General features: G+C 47.2%; 1 pseudogene across 2 annotated transcripts in view, besides 1 other annotated feature; it reads left to right on the top strand.

The window, feature by feature from the left end:
• SORD2P (sorbitol dehydrogenase 2, pseudogene) overlaps positions 1-18,940 on the top strand; it is a 58,948-nt pseudogene extending 40,008 nt beyond the window's left edge. For both annotated transcript variants that reach the window (NR_146394.1, NR_146393.1), the window contains exons 5-10: positions 5,157-5,316; positions 9,387-9,505; positions 12,295-12,360; positions 12,984-13,158; positions 16,116-16,237; positions 17,466-18,940. The product of NR_146394.1 is annotated as a sorbitol dehydrogenase 2, pseudogene, transcript variant 2 (transcript). The remainder of the gene's footprint in view (positions 1-5,156; positions 5,317-9,386; positions 9,506-12,294; positions 12,361-12,983; positions 13,159-16,115; positions 16,238-17,465) is intronic.
• Positions 24,282-24,576: a silencer, noted in NCBI's record as "tiled region #4183; K562 Repressive DNase matched - State 5:Enh". NCBI's record gives its function as "represses a minimal TATA promoter and a strong SV40 promoter by Sharpr-MPRA in K562 cells {active_cell/tissue: K562}" and the evidence as "EXISTENCE:reporter gene assay evidence [ECO:0000049][PMID:27701403]".

Here is a 26,086-nt window from a genome sequence, read left to right as displayed (position 1 = left end):
GAAGAATTCATCCTTAATGACATAGGCATAATTTGCAGAAAGTTCACTGGACAGGAGAGAAAGCAGAGGGAGTCAGAGGAGATAGAAGGAAGAGACAAATATAGACATTTTATTTTTTGGAGATGAAGTCTCACTCTGTTGTCCAGGCTGGAGTGTAGTGGTGCCATCTCAGCTCACTGCAACCTCAGCCTCCCAGGTTCAAGTGATTCTTGTGCCTCAGCCTCCTGAGTAGCTGGGATTACAGGCATGCACCACCACACCTGGCTAATTTTTGTATTTTTTAATAGAGACTGGGTTTCACTATGTTTGCCAAGCTGGTCTCAAACTCCTGACCTCAGGTGATCAGCTCTCCTCGGCCTCCCAGAGTGCTGGGATTACATAGGCATAAACCACCATGCCCAGCTAAATACAGACATATTTTGGTGGTCATAAGGATTTCTGTGGGTCCTTTTCTTTCCTTAGGATACAAAATTTGGATTTAAAGTCTTTCATTTGTTAACTTTGACTTAAAATTCTAATCAACTAATCTAGAAAGAAGACCACAACTCATCAAATATTTCCTAATGTTCATTTACAGAATTTAAACATATAAGTCAGTCAGGCACAGTAGCTCACGCCTGTAATCCTAGCACTTTGGGATGCCTATGTGGGCAGATCACTTGAGGTCAGAAGTTCGAGATCAGCCTGGCCAACATGGTGAAACCCCATCTCTACTAAAAATACAAAAATTAGCCAGACGTGGTGGCGTGCATCTGTAATCCCAGCTATTCAGGAGGCTGAGGCAGGAGAATTTCTTGAACCTGGGAGGTGGAGGTTGCAGTGAGCTGAGATCATGCCACTGCACTCCAACATGGGTGACAGAGCAAGACTCTGTCTCAAATAAATAAATAAACAAACAAACAAATGAACAAACATACGTATAAGTCAATAACTCTAAGGCATGGAAGCATTCCTGTTTTTTTTTAAGACTAGTCAAGTGCAGTAGTGAGAAGTGGGGAAAGAGTAGAACAAGGAGTATTATCTGTAACTGAGTATGAACAATCAATTAAGATGATGCACTACCTTCAGACCAGCCTTCACCACTTATTTTAATGAGCACTAACTATGTACCAGGACTCTACACTATTCTGTGAGTACTTTCAACACAAAAAGACTTAGGAAAAATTGCTTATCATGTCCCTGCTGAATAAAGGCCAGACCTTCCATGGCCTCAGCAGGCCTCACCAGGTTCCTAACATCCTCTTCAGGCTCCAGAGGGCCTGAACACTAGTACAGAGGTGAGCAGACAGTCAAATCTCCACAGCTTATCACTGTGTGACCACCTGAGCTTCTGTTTCCTCATCGCTAAAGCAGAGATAACACCATCTTGTTGGTTTATGGTGAGGGAAGGGAGATTTTGTGATGTGCCTTTCCTGGTACCTGGCACACAATGGGCATTTGGTAAATGGCAGGACTTGATCCCACCATTATTGGTAAACTCTATTCTGTGTAGTAGGTTTAAGCACCTCTTCCCAGTGGAGTCTATCCGTCAGACTTTTCCTGAATAACCAGGTACTGAGGCAGGATAAGGCCTGTGGGTCCTTTCCTGGGCTCCTGCCACATGGCTTCCTGCCTCACTGGCGTTTGGCCATGTTGGTCTCCAGCTTGTTCCTGGCTGCTAGAAGGGGAGATTTCTGCTGTTCTCTGTGGAGTTAACGCCTGGGTTCAGGCAGGAGGGTCTGCCAGGGTTTCTAGTTTGGTCTCTGATTCGCTGGTATGGGTCACTCCCCAAATTCAGACGGAGTTTAAATCCAATCGTAACTTTGATGTGTAGCAATACCTGTGATATTAAAATCCCCTGTAAGTCTGCTTTCTGTTTTCTGGAAACATGGAGGCCATTGCTGTATTGACAGTGTATTTGGAGTTCCCCTACACAGGGCTGGGTACCTACATGAAGATGAACCATCTAAACCATCCCAAAACCTCAGGATAACTATTTGTCCTCAATTATTCCTACCTGTCTCCCTTTCCTTTACAACAGAAAAGTGCTACTGTCTTTAACCAACAGGTTTTACTTGTCACATTCCAGGGGAAATTTTTGCCAATAAGTAATGCCCTTCTAGATACTAATGACATTTGTGTCCCATGGTTTGTTTTCCCCCAATCCACAAATTCTATGTTTAGCAATAAAAATTTGACTAGCACAACAGTAGACACTATGAAAAAATAAATATGGAGCAGAAGACTGACTAATCCTGAAGCATTCCCATCCTTGATGAGGAGGCAAGATAGTCATGAAAAACAACCAGGGATGGACATGGTAGCTTACACCTGTAATCCCAGCACTTTGGGAGGCCAAGGCAGGAGGATTGCTTGAGCTCAGGAGTTTGAGACCAATCTGGGCAACATGGAAAAACCCTGTCTCTGCAAAAACAAAAACAAAAATCACCCAGGCATGGTGGCATGCACCTATAGTTGCAGCTACTTGTAAAGCAGTCTAGGGTCAATATAGCAATCTCACTGTCTGAGGTGTTATCCAGAGTTCTTTGTCTCATGACCAGGAAAATTAAGGAGTGTGGACACCAAGGGTGAGGTTGGAGTGAAAGTTTAATAAGTGAAAGAGGAAAGCTCTCAGCAGCAGAGCGGGGGACCTGAAAGAGGGTTGTTGTTTTACAGTTAAATACGAAGGTTTTTATAAGAAACTTCCCTTATCTGTGTAGGTGCTGTGTAACTTACCTTATCTGTGTAGCTACCTGTGTAGCTTCCCTTATTTGTGCAGCTGCGAGCATGTCTTAGGCAAGCATAGGGTGCAGCTTCTCTTGCCTGAGCAACTACGGGCATGTTTTAAGCAAGCCCCCACCCCACCCCATGCAAGTTCTCATGGAGCCCACTGTGTACATGCCCAAAAAGGGGAGGAAACTTTTTCCTGGGAGTGCACTGATTACACAGAGAACCAAGGCATTTCTATGTTGGGCCTCACTCCCTTATCTGTGCCTGTAGCTTGATTTTTCCAAGCTGCTCTTTATGTGCCTGCAGCTTGATTTTTTCCAGACTGCTGTTTTGTTTGAAAGAATTCCACCAAGGACCTGCCCTAACTGTCTGCCTGCTTTTTTTCTTTCTCCTTCCTCACTTGGGAGGCTGAGGCAGGAGGATCACCTGGGCTTGGGGAGGTCGAGGCTACAGTGAGCTGTGATTGCACCACTGGACTCCAGCCTGGGTGACAGAGTGAGATCCTGTCTCAAAAAACAAACAAACAAAAAAAAAACAACAAAGAAACATACACAAAAAAAACCCAAAAAACCAGCAATGAGAAAACTGGAAACAACCAGGTTTTTTCCATCAGTAAGAGAATGGTGATACTGACTGTGGTATACTCTTACATTAGGCAAGCACGGGGTGCATCTTCTCTTGCCTGAGCAACTATGGGAACACTATTCAGCCATGAAAAGGAACAAACTGTCATTTGTTTTTGAGACAGTCTTGCTCTGTCACCCAGGTGGGAATATAGTGGTGTGATCATGTCTCTCTGCAGCCTCAACCTCCTGGGCTCAAGTGATTCTCCCACCTCAGCCTCCCAAGTAGCTGAGACCACAGGTACACACCACCATGCTCAGCTAATTAAAAAAAAATTTTTTTTGTAAAGATGAGGTCTTTCTATGTTGCCCAGGTTCGTCTCGAACTCCTGGGCTCAATTGATTCTCCCACCTCAGCCTCCCAAGTAGCTGAGACCACAGGTACACACCACCATGCTCAGCTAATTAAAAAAAAATTTTTTTGTAAAGATGAGGTCTTTCTATGTTGCCCAGGTTCGTCTCGAACTCCTGGGCTCAAGCAATCCTCCTGCCTTGACCTCCCAAAATGCTGGGATTATGAGATTATAGGCATGAGCCACCACACCTGGCCAGACAGTTAATACCACAACAACAGAGATCAATCTGAAAAGCATTATGCTAACTGAAAGAAGAAAGATACAAAAGAGTATCTACTGTATGATCCCATTTTTGTGACGTGCTAGAACAGGCAATACTAATCTGTGGTACAAAAAATAAAAATAAAAACATTGGTGTCCTCTGGGGATGGGGCTGGGGATTGACTGGGAACAGATACAGAGGAATAAGATTTCTGAGGTAGTGGTAGTGTTCTGTATCATAAAAGGGGTTTGCATTCCTAGGTGATACCTTTAAAAAAGAACCATAAACAAATACTGAACTCTAGTTAATGATATGCAGGCTGAAGCATTTAAGGGTGAAGTATACTGATGTCTGCAGCCTGCTTTGAAGTGCATCGGAAAAGAAGATCGACTGATGGAAGGAGACAGAGATGAGATGGAGGGGTAGATGGATAGATATGTGATAAAGTGAACATAGCTAGATGTTCCTTGAAGAATGTAGGAGGAGGGTATCCAGGTGTTGACTATACAATTCTTTGAATTTTGCTGTGTGTTTGAAATTCTTCATAATAAAAAGACAGAAAAAGAAAACAATTAGAGAGCAGTTCTCAGGCTGGGTTTCCAAGCAGTCGTTGTGAGGCATAGAGTAGAAATATAATAGAGCTGGCTGTTCAGAAGCCTCAAGTATTACTCTCCACTGTATGAGGCCTCTGCAGGTCATTGGCCTTTGCAGTTCTACTACCAGGAATCAGTTGACTCCTAATTATTGTCTAAAAACGACCAAACTGGACATAAAACATGCTGTAATTATAGCTGTTGTCTTTGTAAAGGCTTTGCTTTCTATCTTCCAAACAGATGAAGAAAAAATGCCTGCAAACTCCATGTATTAGCTACCCCTTTTCCAGCAGTGTGAGATGGGAACTATACTTGGCTTGCCTTAGCTGGGAAGTGGCTGTGGAGATAGAGGGTGGCTTGGCTTGTTGCAGGAGCTGGAAAAAGGGCAGGCCACACTGGGCTGTGGAGGAGGGGGCTGGTCCTTTTCCCCCAGAGTGACTCTGTGCTTCATCCCGAGTTTCCTCACTTGCCTAAGACACCCTGGGTCCCCAGGGAGGAGGGTGGCTCGTTAAGCTAGATTCTCTCATCTGGCATCTGCCCATGAGCATGCAAGCCTTCATAACATCTCTGCTTCTGCTGTTTTCAAAGGTTGGAAAACAAAGAACCGGACCAAAGAGGAGGCAGACTCTGCTCCCACCCTCGGACATGGTGCCATCTTTGTTTTCCTCTCCAGGTGATCGTGTTGCCATCGAATCTGGTGCTCCCCGAGAAAATGATGAATTCTGCAAGATGGGCCGATACAATCTGTCACCTTCCATCTTCTTCTGTGCCACACCCCCTGATGATGGGAACCTCTGCCAGTTCTATAAGCACAATGCAGCCTTTTGTTACAAGTTAGTGTCCACAGTCCCACTGGGTCACCTGGGACCTCTTTCCCTTCATTAACTTGGTGCTGTTTCCTGTGGTTATTTCTTTATTCTTTCAGCTCCTAATTCCAAACATGAGGCATCGCCTGGGCAGGCTACTCTTCTTGGTGGCATTGAGAGAGGGTAGCCTCCCTAGGAATAAGACTGACTCACAGTGGTTGGTTTTAGTCTTTCAGTTCCAGTTTCCCTTACTTAGAGCAACAATAGAAAATTATTGCTGAAATCACTCACCCTCTGCAGACATCCTGGAGGGAATTCCTGTGGTTCATCCTCTGTTATTAGTTTCCACTGCAACCACCAGAAAGGAAACCTGTAACAACAATGACCTCGACAATAGCAACAACACACCATGACAGCAACGGCTGACATTTCCTGAGGTGTGGTGTGCTGCCAGGGCTTGAGTTCTGGGATCCTGGATCTACTCCCTCCTGGCAAGTGAATTTGGAGAAATGATTTAACTTTTCTCTGCTTCAGTTTCATTTAATCGCCAAAATATTAAATAAGGTGATGCATGGAGAGTCATAATTATTATTACTATGTGCCTGCCCTTGTGCTAATAAGTGGTTTGCATGCTTCAATTTATTTAATCTCCACAAGAATAATGCTGAGGTGGGCACCATTTTTGGGTTAACCAAGGCAGAAGGAAGCTCATTGACTTGGGCACAGAGCACAACCAAGAGTCAAACTGGGGTCTCTGTGAGTCTCAAGCTCCTGCCCTGTGCCCACTCCCCTACCCTACTCCAATTCTCACCCCTGAAATTGTGAAGTTGAGTCTGGAGGAAGCAAAGTGCCTCCCTTTCTGCGTGGCCCCCCATGGCCCCAGCCGTGGAGCTCTAGGGTGCCGAAGTGCCGCTTTCCCCCTGACCCAACCCAGATGCATTCTTCCCCCACCGCAGCCTGGCCTCAGTGGTGGTTTTCAGCCAGGATGGGGCTTGTCCGATGGAGGCCAGGTGCCAGTCACAGGAGCAGTCTGACAGATCTGAGTTTTTCTAGGGCCCACTGGGAGCCTTGAGAGGAGTCACAGGCCAGAGACCTTGTGATGGGTTTAAGTCAACACCTGAACCTGCTCTAGAAGTAAGCAGGTTACATGTGCAGAGTACACCTTTCAGCAAGTGGTTCCTGAATGGGCCCATCTTTCTGGGGCCCTTTCCAAGTCAAGACACCAAACGAAAGTTTCATGGAAGGCAGAAGAGCATAGTGGTGAAGCCCACTGGTCTCTGCCAATTACAACTGTGTGACCTTGGGCAAGTCACTTAAATTTTGTAACCTCAATATCCTCGCCTGTAAAATAGAAATAGTAATGGTACCTCCCTCACAGAATTACTGATGAGATCCAATGAGAAAAGCATATCAAGTCTCCAGCATGAGGTCTGGCACATAGTAGGTGCTCAGTAAATGGTACCAAGCTATGCCATAGTCATGGCCTAGTGGTCTGGGCATGGAGGTGCAGGAGTAGGCCTGAAAGAGAGCCTTGTGCTGGTGGTTTATAGGGAATGATGGGGCTCTGGCTGGCAGTGGCAGTGGCAGTGGGGGTGCTGAGGAAGGTCTCTGGGGAGTCCTACAGCCCTGCCTTTCTTCTCCTCCCAGGGGGCTTTCTGCCTGTGTCCCCAGTTCTTCCCTAGACCCAAGCCCTCCTCTCTGATGTCTTTTTAGGATTCCCATACTACCACAGCCTCTTTATTTTTGTATCTATTTTCTTTCTATTTTCCTGCTTCCTCCTTGGCTTCTTGATCATCCGTTACCCAATTTGGACTGTTCCCTGAACCCCATTGTAAAAACTACCAAGTTGCCTCATCACTCTCTGGTGTTTATAAAGCATGAAAGGTTGGGGCTGGGAAGAAACTTGGAGTCTTCTCATCCTCGTTCTCCATCAACCCCCACTGGACAAGATTGGGGAGGGTGGAGTCAGTGGTTTTCCCAAGGTCAGTGGCAGCGGGGCTGGCCTCCAGGACTCCTTGTGCATGCTTCTGCCTCCACACCAGGTGGCTTTCCAACACAGTTGGCTGTGTTGGGTGCAGGCGGATGAGGCAGCATCTGCTTAATCAGTAGAGTATTCTTCCTGATAACAATCTTCCCTCATCACCTTCCCCAATCCCATCTCTCCTTGATGTAGTTTCCACGCAAGCCACCCTCTGCATAGAGCCCTTATGAGTTCCTCAGGAGGCCCAGATGTGGAAGGGCAGGCATGTCTAGGAACCTGTGGAGTCCCTAAGAGAGTTTAGGCATCTTCACAATTTCATTTTCACCTTTTTCCTATTATATAGAAGGGATACTTCTAGGGGGAGTAGAAGGAGTGTGACCGCAGTCAGAGCAGGAGAGTGGATTGGAGTAGGGGAAGTGATGGGAAAGAAGCCGAGGGGAAGGGATAAGGGGGTGGTGGGTGGCAGCTGGGCCTCCATTGGCCTGGTGAGTAGTTCTGTCAAGGATCAGGGACAGTGACAGGAGGACTCCGAGTTATTCTGTTGAAGATTGGAGACAGTGTTGAAAGGATCATGGGGATGAGCACATGGTTTGGCTGTCACATTTATTTCTTTTTGGAACTTGAGGGTTTTCCTGTTCCTGTGTGTGGAGATTTGGGGTGCTGGGTAAATCCTGGGCAGTGAGGAACTAGCAGAAATTAGATATTAATATTAGCTACACAGCTGCTCATACCAGGATGGAGCTGATATGGGACAGGCAGAGGATGTGGAATCAGGACACCTTTGTTAAGTCTGGCCTTCATTCCCTAGCTTCATAACCTTGGCAATTCTCTTAATGTCATGTCAGTGAGTTTCCGTTTACTCTTCTGTAAAATAAATGTTTTTTAAAAAAAGCCTGCCCTACCTGCCTAACATGGTTTTCATGAGGATTAAATGAGATAACGGATGAGCATGCTTCCTAATCTGTAAAGCTTTATGCAGATATTTGCTGTCGTCATCAGCTGTATTATTGATAGGGTTAAGATGCCAGTGGAAGTGAAAACCTAGAACCCAGAGTGAAGGTGACACAGCATTTAATCTGCTATGTGGAACAGGTCCTTTCATCTTAACTGGTCCTGGGTCAGCGGGGCAGCTGCTGTCCTCAGATGTGGTTCTTCTGGAATGTATAATATGGGAGGCGACTATCAGAGTGATGCCCATTGCTAAATCACTGTTCTGCAAAACTGGTGATAGTCAGGATTGTTTGCTAAAGTGAAACTAAAAAGGCTGTAAGTTTGGGAAGCAGATGAGATGCTGGAAGGTGGCCATATTAACTCCTTGTTAAATAAACTTTTCGGCCGGGCATGGTGGCTCACACCTATAATCCCAGCACTTTGGGAGGCTGAGGCGGGCGGATCACAAGGTCAGGAGGTCGAGACCATCCTGGATAACACGGTGAAACCCCGTCTCTACTAGAAAATATAAAAAATTAGCCCGGCATGGTGGCGGGCGCCTGTAGTCCCAGCTGCTCAGGAGGCTGAGGTGAGAGAATGGCGTGAACCTGGGAGACAGAGCTTGCAGTGAGCCGAGATTGCGCCACTACACTCCAGCCTGGGAGATAGAGTGAGACTCCATCTCAAAAATAAATAAATAAATAAATAAGTAAATAAATAAACAAACTTTTCATTTATTAATGATAACCACCATACCGTACCTTGGATAGCACATTAAAGAAAACATAATGTGTTCATTTCACTGAATTGATTTACCCAAAGAAAACCATGTTGCCTTCTTCAGATGGGGACATTGTGGCATGGGTTCTGTGATGAGAACATATCTGGCTTCTAATTTGAACGCTTTTGGCTCCTCACTAGCTTTGGACCGCTGGGGCAAGTCATTTAACCCACCACGCCTGTTTCCTCATCTGTAAAATGGGAATGATAGTACCTACCACAGAACTATTCCAGGGATTTACGTGAGTTAATGTATATAAATTGCTTAGCACATTGCTCTGCACATAAATAAATGCTCAATAAATGTTAGCTATTGTTGTTATTACAGTGACGTTGGGCATATATAATACTATTGTTAGCATTGTAGTTAACTCAGAGGATCTCTGTGTGTCAATTGACTCCTCAGGCTTCCTGACAATGTCACCTTTGAGGAAGGCGCCCTGATTGATCCACTTTCTGTGGGGATCCATGCCTGCAGGAGAGGCGGAGTTACCCTGGGACACAAGGTCCTTGTGTGTGGAGCTGGTAAGAAACAGAAGCCACCCTGTTGCGGGTTCATTGACTGGGAATTCAGGGAACCCTCTGCCCATCTCATTCCCCCTCCAAGGCTTGAGATTTGTTCTAGAATCCTTCTGGGTAAAGGAGGATTGCAGTGTCCCATTCCCTCAGTGACTAGCACTTTGCTAAACAAATGAGTATCTGTGGACATGATATTAACTAGGGTTATATGTCCTAGGCAACATAGCCCTTTCATTCATTTAAAGAATGAATTGGCTGGGCACGGTGGCTCCTGCCTATAATCCCAGCACTTTGGGAGACCAAAGCCGGTGGATCACTTGAACCCAGGAGTTCGAGACCAGTCTGGGTAACATGGTGAAACCCCATCTCTACAAAAAAATACAAAAATTAGCCGGTGTGGTAGTGTGTGCCTATAGTCCCAGCTACTCAGAAGGCTGAGGTGGGAGGGTCACTTGAGCCTGGGAGGTCAAGAGTGCAGTGAGCCATGATTGTGCCACTGAACTCCAGTCTGGGTGGCAGAACAAGACCCTGTCTCAAAAAAAACAAGACCCCATCTCAAAACAAACAAACAAAAAGAATGAATCTGTGCCAGGCACAGTGTCTCATGCCTATAATCCCAGCACTCGGGAAGGCTGAGGCGGGTGGATCACTTGAGGCCGAAAGTTCAAGACCAGCCTGGCCAACATGATGAAACCTCATCTTTACTAAAAATACAAAAATTAGCTGGGTGTGGTGGTGCGCCCCCTGTAGTCCCACTTACATGGAAGGACGAGACAGGAGAATCACTTGAACCTGGGAAGCAGAGGTTGCAGTGAGCAAAGATCATGCCACTGCGCTCCAGCCTGGGCGACAGAGCGAGATTCTGTCTCAAAAAAAAAAAAAAAAAAAAAAAAAAAGGGAATTAATCTGGCGATTATTTTTGAACCCTTGATGGGAAACTAGGAAAATTTTTTTATTTGCGTGATCTTGGCTCACTGCAACCTCCACCTTAGAGAAATATTTTTGATAGTAAAGGGAAGGGCAACTCTTGGAACTTTCAAATTATACCAGCAAAGTGATGGCCTAGTCCCATCTATGAATAAGGTAGACCCTGCTCCCAGCCAGTGGGAGGAGTGAGCAGTGGTCTGCTCCCACACCACTGTGAGCCAGCAGTCTGCCTGCAGTAGGGTTGTAGCTAGCTGCCTTCTCTCATCCCCTGTTTCCAGCCATCTTTCCAGCCATCTGGAACAAGCCCTAGCAGCCTCAGAACGAATCATTCTGGTGACCCAGACAGTACGCTCACACTCCTTGTGGGTGTGATCTGGTGTTCCTCATACTTGTTTGTGATTTTCTTTGGCTGGCCAAATAAGTGATCACACGGCTTCCTAAGAGGGGTGATGGATGTAGAATAGACTTGCCACAATGGGCTAGCAGACTGCGGGACTCAGGTGACAGATTCTTATAAAAATCTGCATGGATCCAGTACCTTTTTACCATAGAAAAGGAAAATAAGTCACACATACCACACACATGCATGCCTTGCCCCCAACACACACACACACAGAAATTCACCTGTAATCCCATTACCGATTAGCCCAAGAGAACCACTATTAATATTTGGGTATAGAATCTTTTAGTTAGTTGGTTTTTTCTGAGACCATGCTAAATACGCTTCCTTTACCTACTCTTTTTTAAAAATCAGGCTGGGCACAGTGGCTCATGCCTGTAATCCTAGCACTTTGGGAGGCTGAGGCAGGCAGATCACCTGAGGTCAGGAATTTGAGATCAGCCTGGCCAACATGGTGAAACCCTGTCTCTACTAAAAAAACAAAAAGTAGCCAGGCTTGGTGGCGGGCGCCTGTAATCTCCACTACTTAGGAGGCTGAGGTGAGAGAATTGCTTGAACCCGGGAGGCGAAGGTTGCAGTGAGCTGAGATTGCAACACTACACTCCAGCCTGGGTGACAGAGCAAGACTCTGTCTCCAAAAAAAAAAAAAAATCAATATACTGTGAACATTTTTCCATGTCAATAGATAAAGAGTTATGGCGTAATTTTTAGTAGCCATGTAGTTTTTTAATCATGCTTTGTTGGACATTTCAGGTATTATTTTTCAGTGTTTTGTTTTCTGAGGGAGCTCACAAAATTGTTCTTAGGGGATGTGTACAAAAAGTAAACCCCCAAAGATATTCTGCATTGCTTTCATTCTGTGGGTCTGATTTTTATATTAAAACCATAGTGTCACATAGCATGCAGATACTATGGGGAAGCAGGTGTCTCAGGCAAATCCTTGGATACCTGAGTATCCTGGGGCTATCTGGGCACCTGGGCCAACCCAGGGAGCCAGCTCACTTAAGAACCCTCTCCAGGTGGTCCTCAGAGGGCACCTAAAAGGAATATGTCTCTCTCTGGGGGAGGTGTGATGGGTTCTCACGAAGGTAGGGGCAAAGAAAGAACAGGAAAACAAGTCCAGACCTTCTGAGATTTCTTATTTTCTGAGTAAGTTTGTGTTTCCTTGAATCCCGTGGTTCTTTGAGATTATCTCCACTAGTGCCCAGGAGTAAGTGGGAAAATTTTAGCTCTGAGGTTTGAGAGGATTAAATAGAACCCAGCACTAGGAGCGTATTTTATGTAGAGAATAATTCTTCATGGATTCATTCTCTTCTGCATTCAACAAACAGCCGCTAAGGTCTTATCATGCCAGGCACTGGGATAGATGCTAGAGACACACAAAAGATATGGTTCCTGTCCGTGGCCTGGACAAGTGGGAGAGCAGATGTTTAATATTTCACAATCTTATATCTTTTGCTTTGTTTAGGGGCAATCGGGGTAGTCACTTTGCTCGTGGCCAAGGCAATGGGAGCAGCTCAAGTAGTGGTGACTGGTAAGACTTTGTTCTTTATCAATCTCCTTGACTGGGAAACAGCTGGTCCTACTGTATGTGCATGTGTGAGGAGAGGTTATCCGTGACAGTGTGGAGGGGGTGAGTGTGTAGTGTCATATGGATTGTGGAGATATAGAGGAGTGTGAGTGTGTGTTTTGTGTTAGGAGAAGCTATGAGAGAGAGAGAGTTTGTGTGAGAGTGTGTGTGTGTGTGTGTGTGTGTAGCTGTATGGTGGATATGGGGGTATATGAGGGTGTAGAGCAGGGGTGTCCAATCTTTTGGCTTCCTTGGGCCACATTGGAAGAATGGTCTTGGGCCCCACATAAAATACCCTAACACTAATGATAGCTGATGAACTTTACAAAACTGTTTTTTAATTTCATAATATTTTTAGAGAGTTTACAGATTTGTGTTGGGCCATATTCAAAGCCATCCTGGGCTGCATGTGGGCTGCAGGTTGGACAAGCTTGGTGTGAAGAGTATGTGTGTTGGGCTCAACACCACCACCCATTGCACGAGAGCTTTGTTGCCATCAGATCTTACACCTCCATTTTCTTTTCTTCCTAATGAGTCATCAGATTTCTCTTGTTTGAAAGAATTTTTTTTTTTTTTTTTACCTTCAGATCTGTCTGCTACCCGATTGTCCAAAGCCAAGGAGATTGGGGCTGATTTAGTCCTCCAGATCTCCAAGGAGAGCCCTCAGGAAATCGCCAGGAAAGTAGAAGGTCTGCTGGGGTGCAAGCCGGAAGTCACCATCGAGTGCACGGGGCAGAGGCCTCCATCCAGGCAGGCATCTACGTGAGTGGGCTGAGGGCAGCTTTGGGGAATCAGCGTAGGGGAGTGAAGGAGGCAGAAGTAGGGAGTCAAACTTCTTTACCAGCTTGCTGCGTGAGCCCCAAGCCAAACTTATTCATCTTTTGCCATCTCTGTTTTCTTATCTCTAGTGTGGAGCCTGTACTTGAACTTGCCTTACATCCTCATTGGGCCATCTGAGGTTCACACAAGATAACAGCTATACATGGGCCTTGAAAAATGTTAAGGACACACACTTTGGGGACGCAGTTGGCTTCATGATCATATCTGTGATGTTAAAAGTGCAGTAGTTTTGGTAAAAAGATCAAGAAGAAAAACAGGGAACCATGCCTTAATTGTATGTGGGAAATCTCTGTCTTATTTTATTGAGGAAAACTGCAGTCTTTTAGTCATAGATATAAAGTGACAGTCATTCAGTTAGTCATGAAGGTGAGGTGATTTTCCAGGGTCACAGCTGACTACTGCTTGTTTTGTCTCCCAGACCTAGGAACAGATAAGCTGCCAATGCCTGATTCGCCCCTCAGCGACCCACCAGCCACTTATGGGAAGTTGGCAGGAAGTTGGAGGTGGTGGGAGGGAGTGGCACTGACAGATCAAAGTATGAGGAAACGAAGGGAAAATAACAACTTCCAGGTTCCAAGCCCTACTGTATGCCAGGTTCTCTGCTGTACTTTATAAACATGAGGCCTAATCTGCACAACAGCCCTGAAAACCAGTTACCGTTTTATGCTGAGGGATTTGTGGTTTGTTTGAGGCAAGCCAAGTCAGGCCCAGGCCCAGCCCTGCCAGGCCCCAGTGCCTGAGTTGCCCCGCTGCTTAGGAGAGGAAGGGAAGGAGGGCACGAACAACCATGCTAGGGTGGGGGGACAGGGCCAGGGCTGGAGAGGGTAGCAGGCAGCCGCCACCACAGGGGTCTCCTGTCCCTGCCTCCCAGACAGCCTCCCCAGGTAGCGTGGGCTTCCTCCTTCCTTCTGAGGCTCACAGCAGGAGGGCACTTTGCATCACATGAGACATTCTAGGGAAGGCTGACCCACCAAGCTGAGTAGCAGAGCTGCCTAGACCTCCTCCTACTAAGTTGCCCAGCGGCCTTGGGAGCTGAGGAACCAGTGGGGGAGAGGGAGGAGCGGGTGCCACCTTGGCAGTGTCGTGAGTTTCAGCTGGAGTCCGCCAGCCCTCTGCTTCACTGTCATAGGCAGTGGTCGCCATGTGGGAAGGGGCAAAAAGAAGCCGAAGCTCAGAGAGGAACAATGGATCTGTGTGTGATTGATCTACCCATGGTATGTCTTGGGCACCTACCATGTGCCAGGCTTTGTGCTGGGCACTTTGAGGGCTAAGACATGAGTAGGTTGCATCTGCTGTCTTCAAGTTGTCAGCAGGTAAGTGACCTCCACCCCGCAGAGAGGCAGTATAAGCTGGGGGACTTAAAGGACATGGCTCTCCTTCCTCTTGTGCCCTGCCCTTAGAGCATTTGGAACAGTTGGCATTTCCACTGTTGATGGTGGGGGCCTGGTTGCCAGGCTACCTGAGGCAGGCATGGAGGTGAATGTGACCCATGGGCCTCACCAGGCCTGAAGCAGTGTCTCTCCTGACGTCACGCATGACGGGTGCTGTAGAATGCTATAGGCCACCCCGCCAATGAGCAGGCTAGGTGGCTGGACCAAATATGGACAAATCTGAGCATCGCCGTCCTGCCAGGTTATGACTGGATAGTGTTTGTGATGAGACATGGCAGATGCCTTGGGGTAGAATTGATGTCATATCCTTGATGCAGATGCCATACCTACAGGATAGTGTCCAGGTGGTTCCAGCATTCCTTGACCTTGGGTCAGCAAACTGCTGGCATCTTGGCAGCTTGGAATGGCCAGTTGGTGTTCCTCCTCACCACCAGGTAGAGAGGAAGTGCTGATAAGGAAGTAGTTTCCCTAGAAAATGGGCTGAGAGGGCACGTCCAGGGTGCCACAGCTCTGAAGCAGCAGCGCTGGGAGTCACTCCCACACCACTCAAACCCTGAGTTCACCTCTTGCTCACGGCACCACAGGCCTCTCTCCATGGTGTATCCTTCATCTCAGAAGTGGAGGCTGTGATCGTGGTGTATCCTTCATCTCAGAAATGGAGGCTGTGACATGTGCCTTTCTCTAGTTCCACTGTTTAGCACCTAGAATGGTCCCAATAAATGCTTGCTGCTGACTATAATGAACAACCAGCATGATTGAATTATCCATTGTTCTGTCTCTCACCGCACTGAGCACAGTGATCCCCAGAAAGCTCTGGAACAAGCACAGCACTCACAGGGAGTTCTGGGGAAATTTTCAGGAGAAATTTCACTGCTGCCTGTGACCCACTCCAAGTGGGGAACTGATAAGGCAGATAAACATTCAAGGAAGACAAAACCCATTATGGCTCATACTGTTGAGGTAAACATCTCTGGAACAAAAAGATTTCTAACTGCCAGCCTGCACGCATGTATGAAGCCTTTTTTAAGCCACAGAATACAAGTGGCCCATCTGTCTCATGTTTATAGTTTTCTCACCACCGGTGAGCTTAGAGGGCCAGTGGTTCCTTCCAGCTCTGATGAAAGTGCTGCCTGTGGAGGGGCGCTCTGGGGGAGGAACAGGTGCTTAGACTGTGGAGGTGGCTGAAGCCAATATTGGGTCCCGAATCTGTAAAGCTTTGGAAGATGTTCCCACTGTGCCTGGTTCTCCATGGGTTAAGTGTATGTTTTCACAATACACTTTAAAGAAAACCGTGTTTACTCTCCCGCTCAGTTAAGTTTGGTTGGCAGGTTGAGCAGTTCAGCAGTGTACACAAATCACATTCTCAGGAATTTTTGGATGCTCAGCTGATGCAACCAGAAGATACTTGTGTGATGACAATATGTTATTGTAAGTGGGAAGTCAGTATTTCTTATCTTCTGAGCTTTCTTGTTTTTACCTCCTTTACAGGCCACTCGCTCTGGTGGGACCCTCGTGCTTGTGGGGCTGGGCTCTGAGATGACCACCGTACCCCTACTGCATGCAGCCATCCGGGAGGTGGATATCAAGGGCGTGTTTCGATACTGCAACACGTGAGTATGCTGTGGGTGAGCCGGGATGCCCAGCCTCCAGCAAGACCATGGCAGGCCCCACTCAGCCTCTGGCCCATGAGTCTCTGCCTGTTTGTTCATGGGGGGCACTCCCTGGCCACACTGATAGCTGTGTGATATAACAGGGATCCAAAGAGAGAACACTCACTCCCAATTAAAGAATGGGAAGGCCGGGCGTGGCGGCTCATGCCTGTAATCCCAGCACTTTGGGAAGCCGAGGCAGGCGGATCACGAGGTCAGGAGATCGAGAGCATCCTGGCTAACACGGTGACCCCTGTCTCTACTAAAAATACAAAAAATTAGCCAGGCATGGTGGTGGGTGTCTGTAGTCCCAGCTACTTGGGAGGCTGAGGCAGGAGAGTGGTGTGAACCCAGGAGGCAGAGATTGCAGTGAGCGGAGATCGCACCACTGCACTCCAGCCTGGGCAACAGAGCCAGACTCTGTCTCAAAAAAAAAAAAAAAGAATGGGAGGAACAGAAGGATGGATGGAGGGAGGGAAGGAGGGGATTTTGAAGCATAGTCTTACTGAGTGTCTGCTGCTTATCCGCCCTAGGCCCCTTTATCCCCCAATTTTCTTAAGTTACCAGGTCTCCATTTTCTCCATTTAAAGGGAAGAAGGAGAGAAAGGAGGACAAAAGGAAGAAATCAAGTCCTGTGGCTTCCGTTCCTTAGCCCTAGGGCCCACCCTGGGGAGCGAAAGGGTCTTAGTTTGCCCCACCCATGTTCTGCAGCTCCACCCTCTCCCCTGCTGGGGCCCTCTGGCTGGGACCCCTCTCCCCAGCAGTGTCCCTTACTCCTGGCTTTAGAGGCTGTAACTCCCTGCCCTCATCAGGGCGCCAGTTTTCCAGTAAGCTGAGCTGTTAGTGGGTGTGACTGGATTGTCCCGGGCTGCCTCCCCACGGCTTCTCTGCCTTTTCCCAGTGGCCTCCACCATGTGCCTCGTACCTTCATGCCACAGGAATTCTAGGCTCCATGGCAGACGTGGCAGAGTGAGCGGGTGGGTGAGGGGTGGGGGCAATTGCAAATAGGCTCTGTACCCCTGAATCATAAGCCATAAGGTCCTTTCCTGGGTTGTTGGCCTGTAAAATTGGCTTTGCAGAACCACAGTGCTATCAATAAATACGGCCAAGCTGATCTAGTGCTTGGTAGTTTGGGGCACCTGGCTCTTTCCTCTTGAAGGTTGAATATAATGCTCGTGCTCTTTTACAGGTGGCCAGTGGCGATTTCGATGCTTGCGTCCAAGTCTGTGAATGTAAAACCCCTCGTCACCCATAGGTTTCCTCTGGAGAAAGCTCTGGAGGCCTTTGAAACATTTAAAAAGGGATTGGGGTTGAAAATCATGCTCAAGTGTGACCCCAGTGACCAGAATCCCTGATGTTAATGGGCTCTGCCCTCATCCCCAGTCTCGGGATCTCAGGGCACAATGGCTGGACATGGGTGGGCTCTGATGCAGAACTTTCTCTTTTGAATGTTAAGAATAACTAATACAATTCATTGTGAACAGAAGTCCTTACGCAGAGGAATTGGTGTGCCTTAAAGATACAATCTGGGATAGTTTGGGGGAACTTGTAGCCAGAATGCCCTGTTCATGCTGAGCAAAGTTCAGCAAGTAGAGCAGAGTTTGGCAGGCAGGTGCCAGGAACTCCCCTTCTTCCTGGAGTGCCTTCATTGAGGAAGGAAATCTGGCCCTTGGGTTTCCTGGTTCCACTGCTACTGACCCAGAGGGGAATGAGGGCTGAGTTATGAAAAGATAACTTCATGAAGACTTAACTGGCCCAGAAGCTGATTTTCATGAAAATCTGCCACTCAGGGTCTGGGATGAAGGCTTGTCAGCACTTCCAGTTTAGAACGCAATGTTTCTAGAGACATATTGGCTGTTTGTTTTGATGATAAAAGGAGAATAAGAAAAGGCATCACTTTCCTGGATCCAGGATAATTTTTAAACCAATCAAATGAAAAAAACAAACAAACAAAAAAGGAAATGTCATGTGAGGTTAAACCAGTTTGCATTCCCCTAATGTGGAAAAAGTAAGAGGACTACTCAGCACTGTTTGAAGATTGCCTCTTCTACAGCTTCTGAGAATTGTGTTATTTCACTTGCCAAGTGAAGGACCCCCTCCCCAACATGCCCCACCCCACCCCTAAGTACGGTCCCTTGTCACCAGGCAACCAGGAAACTGCTACTTGTGGACCTCACCAGAGACCAGGAGGGTTTGGTTAGCTCACAGGACTTCCCCCACCCCAGAAGATTAGCATGCCATACTAGACTCATACTCAACTCAACTAGGCTCATACTCAATTGATGGTTATTAGACAATTCCATTTCTTTCTGGTTATTATAAACAGAAAATCTTTCCTCTTCTCATTACCAGTAAAGGCTCTTGGTATCTTTCTGTTGGAATGATTTCTATGAACTTGTCTTATTTTAATGGTGGGTTTTTTTTCTGGTAAGATTTGGACCTAAATCGCATCATGCCAACTTGTGACTTTGAGACTATTCATCAAGAATGAGGATATAGTAGCCATGACATAGCTTGAGCTATAGCCTTTAATTCCTTACTTTGGCTATGGGTGGAGGGTGAGTTTGAAGAGGTTCTGATTTTCTTGTAACCTGGGAAAGCCATGACCTTGTGCCCGATTCTTTCAGATTGCTTTGGGTAATAAATATTGGTGGTGGTATCTGACTCATGCTGCTGTTTATGGTCCTGTTTAGTGGGGAATGGACTCAGGTTACCCATTTCCCAGAGGGAAGGATCCCAGGATTTTTGAAGGTTACATATTTTCTGTACCAAATATAATTTCATTGACATGAATTATCTCTAATCCTCATGACAAGCCACATACACAATCATTTTGTAGATAAAGAAGATATAAATGCCAGAGGAGACCTTAAGATTGTCTTACAACACAACCCTTCAGTTAACGAGAGAGGAAATTGAGGCTCAGATTGGGGAAGTGACTTGGCAAATCACACAGTGGGTTAGTCAATGGCCCAGGATTAGACAGAACCCAGGAATCCTGACATCAAATCCTTTACAACATGCTGCCTCTCATAGGCCTGAGGTGTCCAGTCCTAGAGGACAAATGATGCTCCCCATGCCACCACCCCCACCAAGCAGCTCCTACTGATGAGAAGATGCACTAAGCAGTCTTGGTGGAAACATCATCCTCACGCCCTGTGCCCCCTTTCAGGTGCCCAGAGAAGGAGCTCAGTGTCTGCTTCAGCCAGGGCTTTAAGAGAGAAGGAAGCTGGGAGTGAGGGGCAGAGGCTCTACCAGAGAATGTCTGCTGGTGTCTTGGAGGCACTTCCTGCAGCCTATGCATGCCTCGTGAAGCCATTTCACTGCTGCCCCTTCATCCTCCTCCTCCCTGAGCCCTAGGTAGAAGTCAGTGTGTGGAGGAGGCCACCCAGAGATGACCCTGACCAGGCCCCACCGCCTGTAGCCAGACCCAGCCTCTGTCCCAGCTGGCTGCTAATTTCTGAGCATTGCTTCCCTGTTATTTGGCCTCTGTACCTTGAACCTAGGTTGACATCATGAGCAGAGGACAGTTCTTAGGAAAGGCAAATATCCCATAAATCCTATTTGCCTCTCTTTCTCCTAACCTCTGGCTCCACCAACTCCCCAACAGGCCTCCTGCACACACAATAGGAGTCAGGAGGGAGGAGGCAGGACTGTGCTACACAAGGGAGACTGGGTGGGGAAGATGTCAGAGAACCAGTGACTGAGTGCAGAGGTGACTTCACACCAGCATCTGCTGTAGCCAGAGGTGGGCTGCAAGAGGGAATTAGAGGAGCCAACATGTCCTCTTTCTCCTTTAGGGTCCATGGAGCAGTCCGCTGCTTCCAGGTTGCCTGTGGGGTCCTTCCCAGCTCTCCGCCCTGACACGTCTTCACTCCCTAGCACTCGTGGAGCTGACTGGGTGGGGACCTCAGTGTTGACTGAAAGCGTGAATCAAGTGCCAGGCACTGGTGACAGAGCACACAGAGGCTGCTGGGCCTCCCAAGGTCGGGGAGCTTGTGGGGAATTCACATTCTTGGTTCCGGGACTGATTCACTGAGTCAATCAATATTGATTGAGCACTTAGTTGGTTGTGGTGGTGGTAGGAATGAATTCCTGGGCTTCCTGCAGCCCCTTTCCATGAATCTATACATATCAAACATGTGCATGCATTTGTAAACATTAATGGGAGTGTACTTTACTTTTTTCATTTTACTCATAAACAGACGAGGACTTTAAAAAAATCACAATTATTAAATAATTCCCATTACTATACCTGACAAAACTAATAATAATTTCATAATAGCTAATACCCCGTCAATCCATGCCATATTTTCCCTCATCTAAAAAACAGAAAAAATTACTTTTTTTTCCCCCAAAGACAGGGTCTTGATCAGAGCTCACTGCAATATCAAACTCCTGGGTTCAAGTGATCCTCCTGTCTCAGCCTCTGGAGTAGCTGGGATTATAGGCATGCACCACCATGCCTGGCTACTTTTTGTAGAGAAAAAAATTTAAAAAGGTCTCACTATGTGGCCCAGAGTGTTCTTGAATTCCTGGCCTCAAGCAATCTTCCTGCCTCAGTTTCCCAAAGCACTGAGATTACAGGCATGAGCCACCATGCCCAGCCAAAACTTTACTTTTTTACACTTGCTTTTCTGGAATCAGGATCTAAACATATTGCATGCGGTTGATATATTAAGCCTGTTTTATTTTTTATTTTTTCTTCTTTCTTAAGCCTCTTTATTATAGTTCCCCCTACATTTTGGTTCACATGCCACTGTTATGTTGAAGAAACTGGGTCCTTTGTCTTCTGGATACCATTTTACAAACATACTTGTTTTCATTTAATAAATGGCTAAATTTCTTTCTATGTCAATAATTATACACATCATTATTTTAAATCACCACATCCCATTGTGTGGATAGACTATCATTTATAAAGCAAATTGCAGTATTTTGAGTGTTTGGATAGTTTACAGAGTTTTGCTCTAATAATAAAGTTGCAATGACAACCCTTGTTGCATATTTTTGTTCTCCTGACTCATTATTTCCTGAAGTTATTAATATGTTATTTCTTGAAGTTATATTTTAGAATGAAAATAGCTGGGGTTAAGGGTACACACATTTTTAAGGTGACCTGGTTAGACAAGAAAACACAGTATTGACATTCAGACTGTCTAAGAAAATCTCTGGGGGTGCCCCAGGCCTTGTGTGATGTGGGAGGACTCTGGGGTCTTGGGTAGCTCACAGGGGCTGCTGAGGATGAGGCCATGAAGCCACTGGCTCTCTGGCTTCAGGCCACCCTTGGGAAAGCAGGGGCCTAGACCCATAAACTTGGACAGATTGCCATTTTCCAGGCCCCAGTTTCCTTATTAGTAAAATTGGTGGTCCCTTTTAGCTCTGGGACTACTGCCAGGACATGACAACAAACAGCTCCTGTAAAGGACTGGCACAGAATTCACAGGGAACTGTGGCCCAGCTACTGTGGAGCAGTGAGCCGCCATCAATGAACTTATACTGGAAGCCTTCCCTACCCCGTCCCTCCACCTCAATTCCAGGGGACACTGGGTACCGTTCACCAAACTTTTTTTTTCTCCTCCAGGTTTATCTTACAACCAAATCCAAGCAGAGGCTGCCCCACCCCAACACCCCATTTTACACAAGGAGGGAATGCCAACAGAATTCAGCAGCCTGACTCGCTCACCCCTCACCACTTCCATTGCTCAGGGCATTGTGGGGAGGGAAAATCCCACCTCAGCCCAATACACTTCCAGAGTTCCCTACTACAGGCATTCTGCAATAGTTAACCAGACCTGGGCTCACTGACATGGTTGGGATGGAAGAGGCTGGGCAAATGGCAGCTTCAGCTAACCTTGAGGCTGCCATGTTCACTCTTCCCCACTGGTCCTCAGGAAGATGAGAATCCCTGATCCCCTGTGGCACACAGCAGAGGGCCCAGGAGGAAGAAGCCAGAGGGAGGCAAAACAGAGAGCCCGGGAAACTTGCCCACCTACAGAGAGCAAAGTGCCCTCTCCTTAAGTAATCCATTCCCACTGCCACAGCAACAGATAGGCGACTCGGAAGTTGGGGAGCCTCCGTGATGGCTTCAGGGATCTTCCCAGAAAGTACAGAGCACATGTTGCTATCTTTCTCCTGGCTAGGCCCACCCAAGTTAGTCAATATCCAGGAGCCCCTTCCCCTTGTGCCTGACCTGGCAATTTCAGGAAACTAAAGTCTGGGACTCCTGATCTATCTTTTGGCCCAGTAACAATGTTATTCAGGACAAAAATATTTCTGCTTGTAATAACCTAGAATTAGTGTTTCTTACGATATATAAAGATGGGGCATATTGCTGTTGAACACTGTCAGCAATGAAACAGCAAAAGAAACAATGGGGGAGAGGGAGGAGCATAAGACCATTGAGATCTGTTTCACTGAGAAGTTTAGGGCAGGAGCCCCTGCAACTCTAAAGAAAGGCCATTCACCAAACCTTTTTTTTTTTTTTTTTTGGAGACAGGATCTCATTCTGTCGCCCAGGCTGGAGTGCAGTGGCGTGATCTCAGCTCACTGCAACCTCCACATCCCAGATCCAAGAGATTCTCCTGTCTCAGCCTCCTGAGTAGCCAGGATTACAGGCACACACCACCACGCCTGGCTAATTTTTTTGTATTTTAGTAGATACTGGGTTTCACTATGTTGCCCTGGCTGGTCTCTTGAGCTCAGGCAATCTACTCGCCTCGGCCTCCCAAAGTGCTAGAATTACAGGCAAGAGCCACCGCACCCGGCCCATTCACCAAACTTTAACAAATCACCAGGAAGAAGTAAGGGTGGTGTGTGTAGAATGTTCCTTATTGGTTCTGACCTCTCCAAGTAGGTGCAAATCCATGTGGCATAAAATGACTTGGACTGGGTACTGGCTTAGTCCATTTTGTGTTGCTATAACAGAATACTTGGGACTGAGTGATTTACAAATAAAGGGGTTTATTTAGCTCACAGTTTTGCAGGCCGGGAAGTTTAAGGGCATGGCACTGCCTTCTGGTAAGGGCTTTTGTGCTACACTATAACATTGCAGAGAAAGTCAAAGGGGAAGCAGACACATGTGAAGAGGCCAAACTCAAGGGACATCCTGGCTTTGTAACAACCCACTCTTGTGGATCTAATCCGTTCCTGAGAGAATCCAGTCTTGCTAGAGTGAGAACTCACTACCGCGAAAATGGCACCAAGCCATTTGGGAGGAATCTGTCCTTATGACCCAAACACCTCCCATTAGCCATCTGCTCCCAAAACTGCCACGTTGGGGATCAAATTTCAACATGAGTTTTGGTGGGGTCAAACTCAAACCATAGCAGGTGTTAATATGCAGATCTTAGATGCTCAGACCCCAAGAAACTTGGCAATTTGTAGAACCCTTAAGGAACTTTGCCTTCTGAGTGATTCGAAAGCATTTGTCACATTGCTGTTTCATTCTGTGGGCACATATGTGTATGTAACGCTGTGCTTATATAGCTTAACAATACTGTGTAGATTTTCGAGTGCTCTTGCATATTTGCGCTATCTGCTTTCAGGAATACCAAAGGGAATCATATCTTTTGCCACTCATCATGTGAGATGGGATAGGGCTGCCAGCGCTGACAGTATTAAGGTTTAACGATTCTCAGGAACTTCTGGGAAAACTGTTATCAGTAAGCAGAAGGAGTCCAACACATGATCTGTGAGAAGGTGAATGCGGAAAAAGCTGGGAGGCAAGGAACTAGTCATCCAGGGCAGACTGAAGAAAGTGACTCAGCTCTGGCCTTTGGGGACTGGGGCTGCTGGTTCTGGGGAGCAGCTGGGCTTTCAGCATAGCACAGGGACAGACAGGCTCTAGCCAGAGCTCTCCTGGGCCAACCCCAACTTGCCTTCCCCTGCACCACACACTAAATCCCCACACCTTGCTGAACACCCAACAAAACTAGGACCTGAGGAAGGCCCTTGCTCCTGCCATGCTGCCTTCCTCCGGAATGGGGTTCCAGAGGGAATGATGCTTCTGAAGGGAAAACAGACATTGCCAAGGTGGTTGGCTGGGAAAGTTTCTGTCATCCAGTCTGTGTCTGGCCATGGGCCTGTGGCTGACTGGAGGGACAGCTCTCCTGCATTTGGAAGAGGCACTTGTAAAGGAAGAGACCAGTGGGTTGTGTAGATGTCTTGGGCTCCCTATAGTAAGGAAGAGGTGAGTACACGTTAGGCTACTCTGCTTCCTGATGACCTCGAGCAACTCACTTGACTCCTTCAAGCTTCAGGTTCCTCATCCTTTAAGTGGGAAAAATAAAACAAGCCTCAGGCTTGTCATAGGGACAGAATAAAGAAGCCTGATGCTCTTCCCCTGGTGAATGGCACTCTGATTATGCTTATTAAGTGCTTGTGCCCCTGCCCTTGTCTCACCAAATTTTCTCTCTTGACCTGTTAAATGAGTAGGATGAATGACCCTCAAGACTTTTCCAGCTCTGAGCCCTGAGTCTGCAAAGGTGCTTGAAGGTACGTGAAGAGTTCCCAGGGTGGCAGAAAAGGCCTCAGCCTGGCCTTGACCCAGCATTCTCAGCAATTCCACAAACCTGCCAGGGAAAGAGAGATGGCAGCAGGCCCAGAGGCCAGGCAGGGAGGAGGAGAGGAACCAGGTGTCAGCACTTAGGAGCTGCCTCTTACCAGCCTGCTCTGCTCTGCTCCCCTGATGCCCCTCTGAAGAGCCGCTGGATCCAGGAGCTCTGGGCGGTTGGTTCACATGGACGGGGACCTCCAGAAGCCATGACCAAGTCTCACACCTACATTATGGAGGTGTCCCTAACTGGCTGGCACAGTGCCTGGCATGTAGAAGGAGCTCTGGAAATGTCTGTAGCCTCATAAGCAACCAGACCTCACTCCCAGCTCCCAGCTGTTTCCATCGTGCCCATTAGCCTGAGCTAAACCCAGAGCAGCCGGGAATCCTCAGGCCGGCAGTCTCAACATGTAGTGACTCACTGTGTGGAAGGGGAAGCCAAACCTCGAGGACCAGGAGGGGCACGTCCAGAGACTGCAGCAAGAGGAGGGCTCACCTGGCCTAGAGCCCCCTGCCCCAGAAACCCACCAGAGACAGCCTAGGGTGCAAATAAGACAACGGAGCTGGACGTCACTGAGGGACAAGGAGTAGGACCAGCTGCTCCATCCAGACAGTTTCAGCTTTTAAGGGGGAATTGTGGGGGACCCTGTGGTGTGGTGAAAACAATACCAGACCAGAGGCAGGGTTCTGAGTTCTGGGCCAGGGTCCCCAACCCATTAATTTCAGGAGAGCTAATAGTGAGTATGTTCTTTTTTTTTTTTTTTTTTGAGACAGAATAGAGTCTTGCTCTGTTGTCCAGGCTGGAGTGCAGTGGTGTGATCTCAGCTCACTGCAACCTCCTCCTCCCAGGTTCAAGCAATCCTCCTGCCTCAGTCTCCCAAGTAGCTGGGATTGTAGGCATGAGCCACCACACCCGGCCGTGTGTATGTTCTTAACTATCCAGGTAGGAGTCAGTGAAACCTCTCAGAATCGTTATCATCTCTACAATAGAATGCTAAGCTTCTGTGAACGAGAAATAAGGAATGAATCACAACAGCTGAAACTGGGTGCCCACTATAGGCCAGACACTATTCTGAGAATACCAAATATCTTAACTCATATAACCCTCACAATAACCCTATGAGAGTAATATCATTGCCCCCATTTTAAGGCTCAGAAAACTGACATACAGAGGGATTAAATGATTTGCCCCACATCCCGCCTACTTCCTACATACATATGTTTGAATATGTGTAGAAAATAATGTCCAGGCTGAT

The sequence above is a fragment of the Homo sapiens genome, chromosome 15 (assembly GCF_000001405.40).
Source record: "Homo sapiens chromosome 15, GRCh38.p14 Primary Assembly".
NCBI lineage: Eukaryota > Metazoa > Chordata > Mammalia > Primates > Hominidae > Homo > Homo sapiens.
The sequence above is the reverse complement of the archived record's forward strand: the minus strand, read 5'-3'. Positions and strand labels throughout refer to the sequence as shown.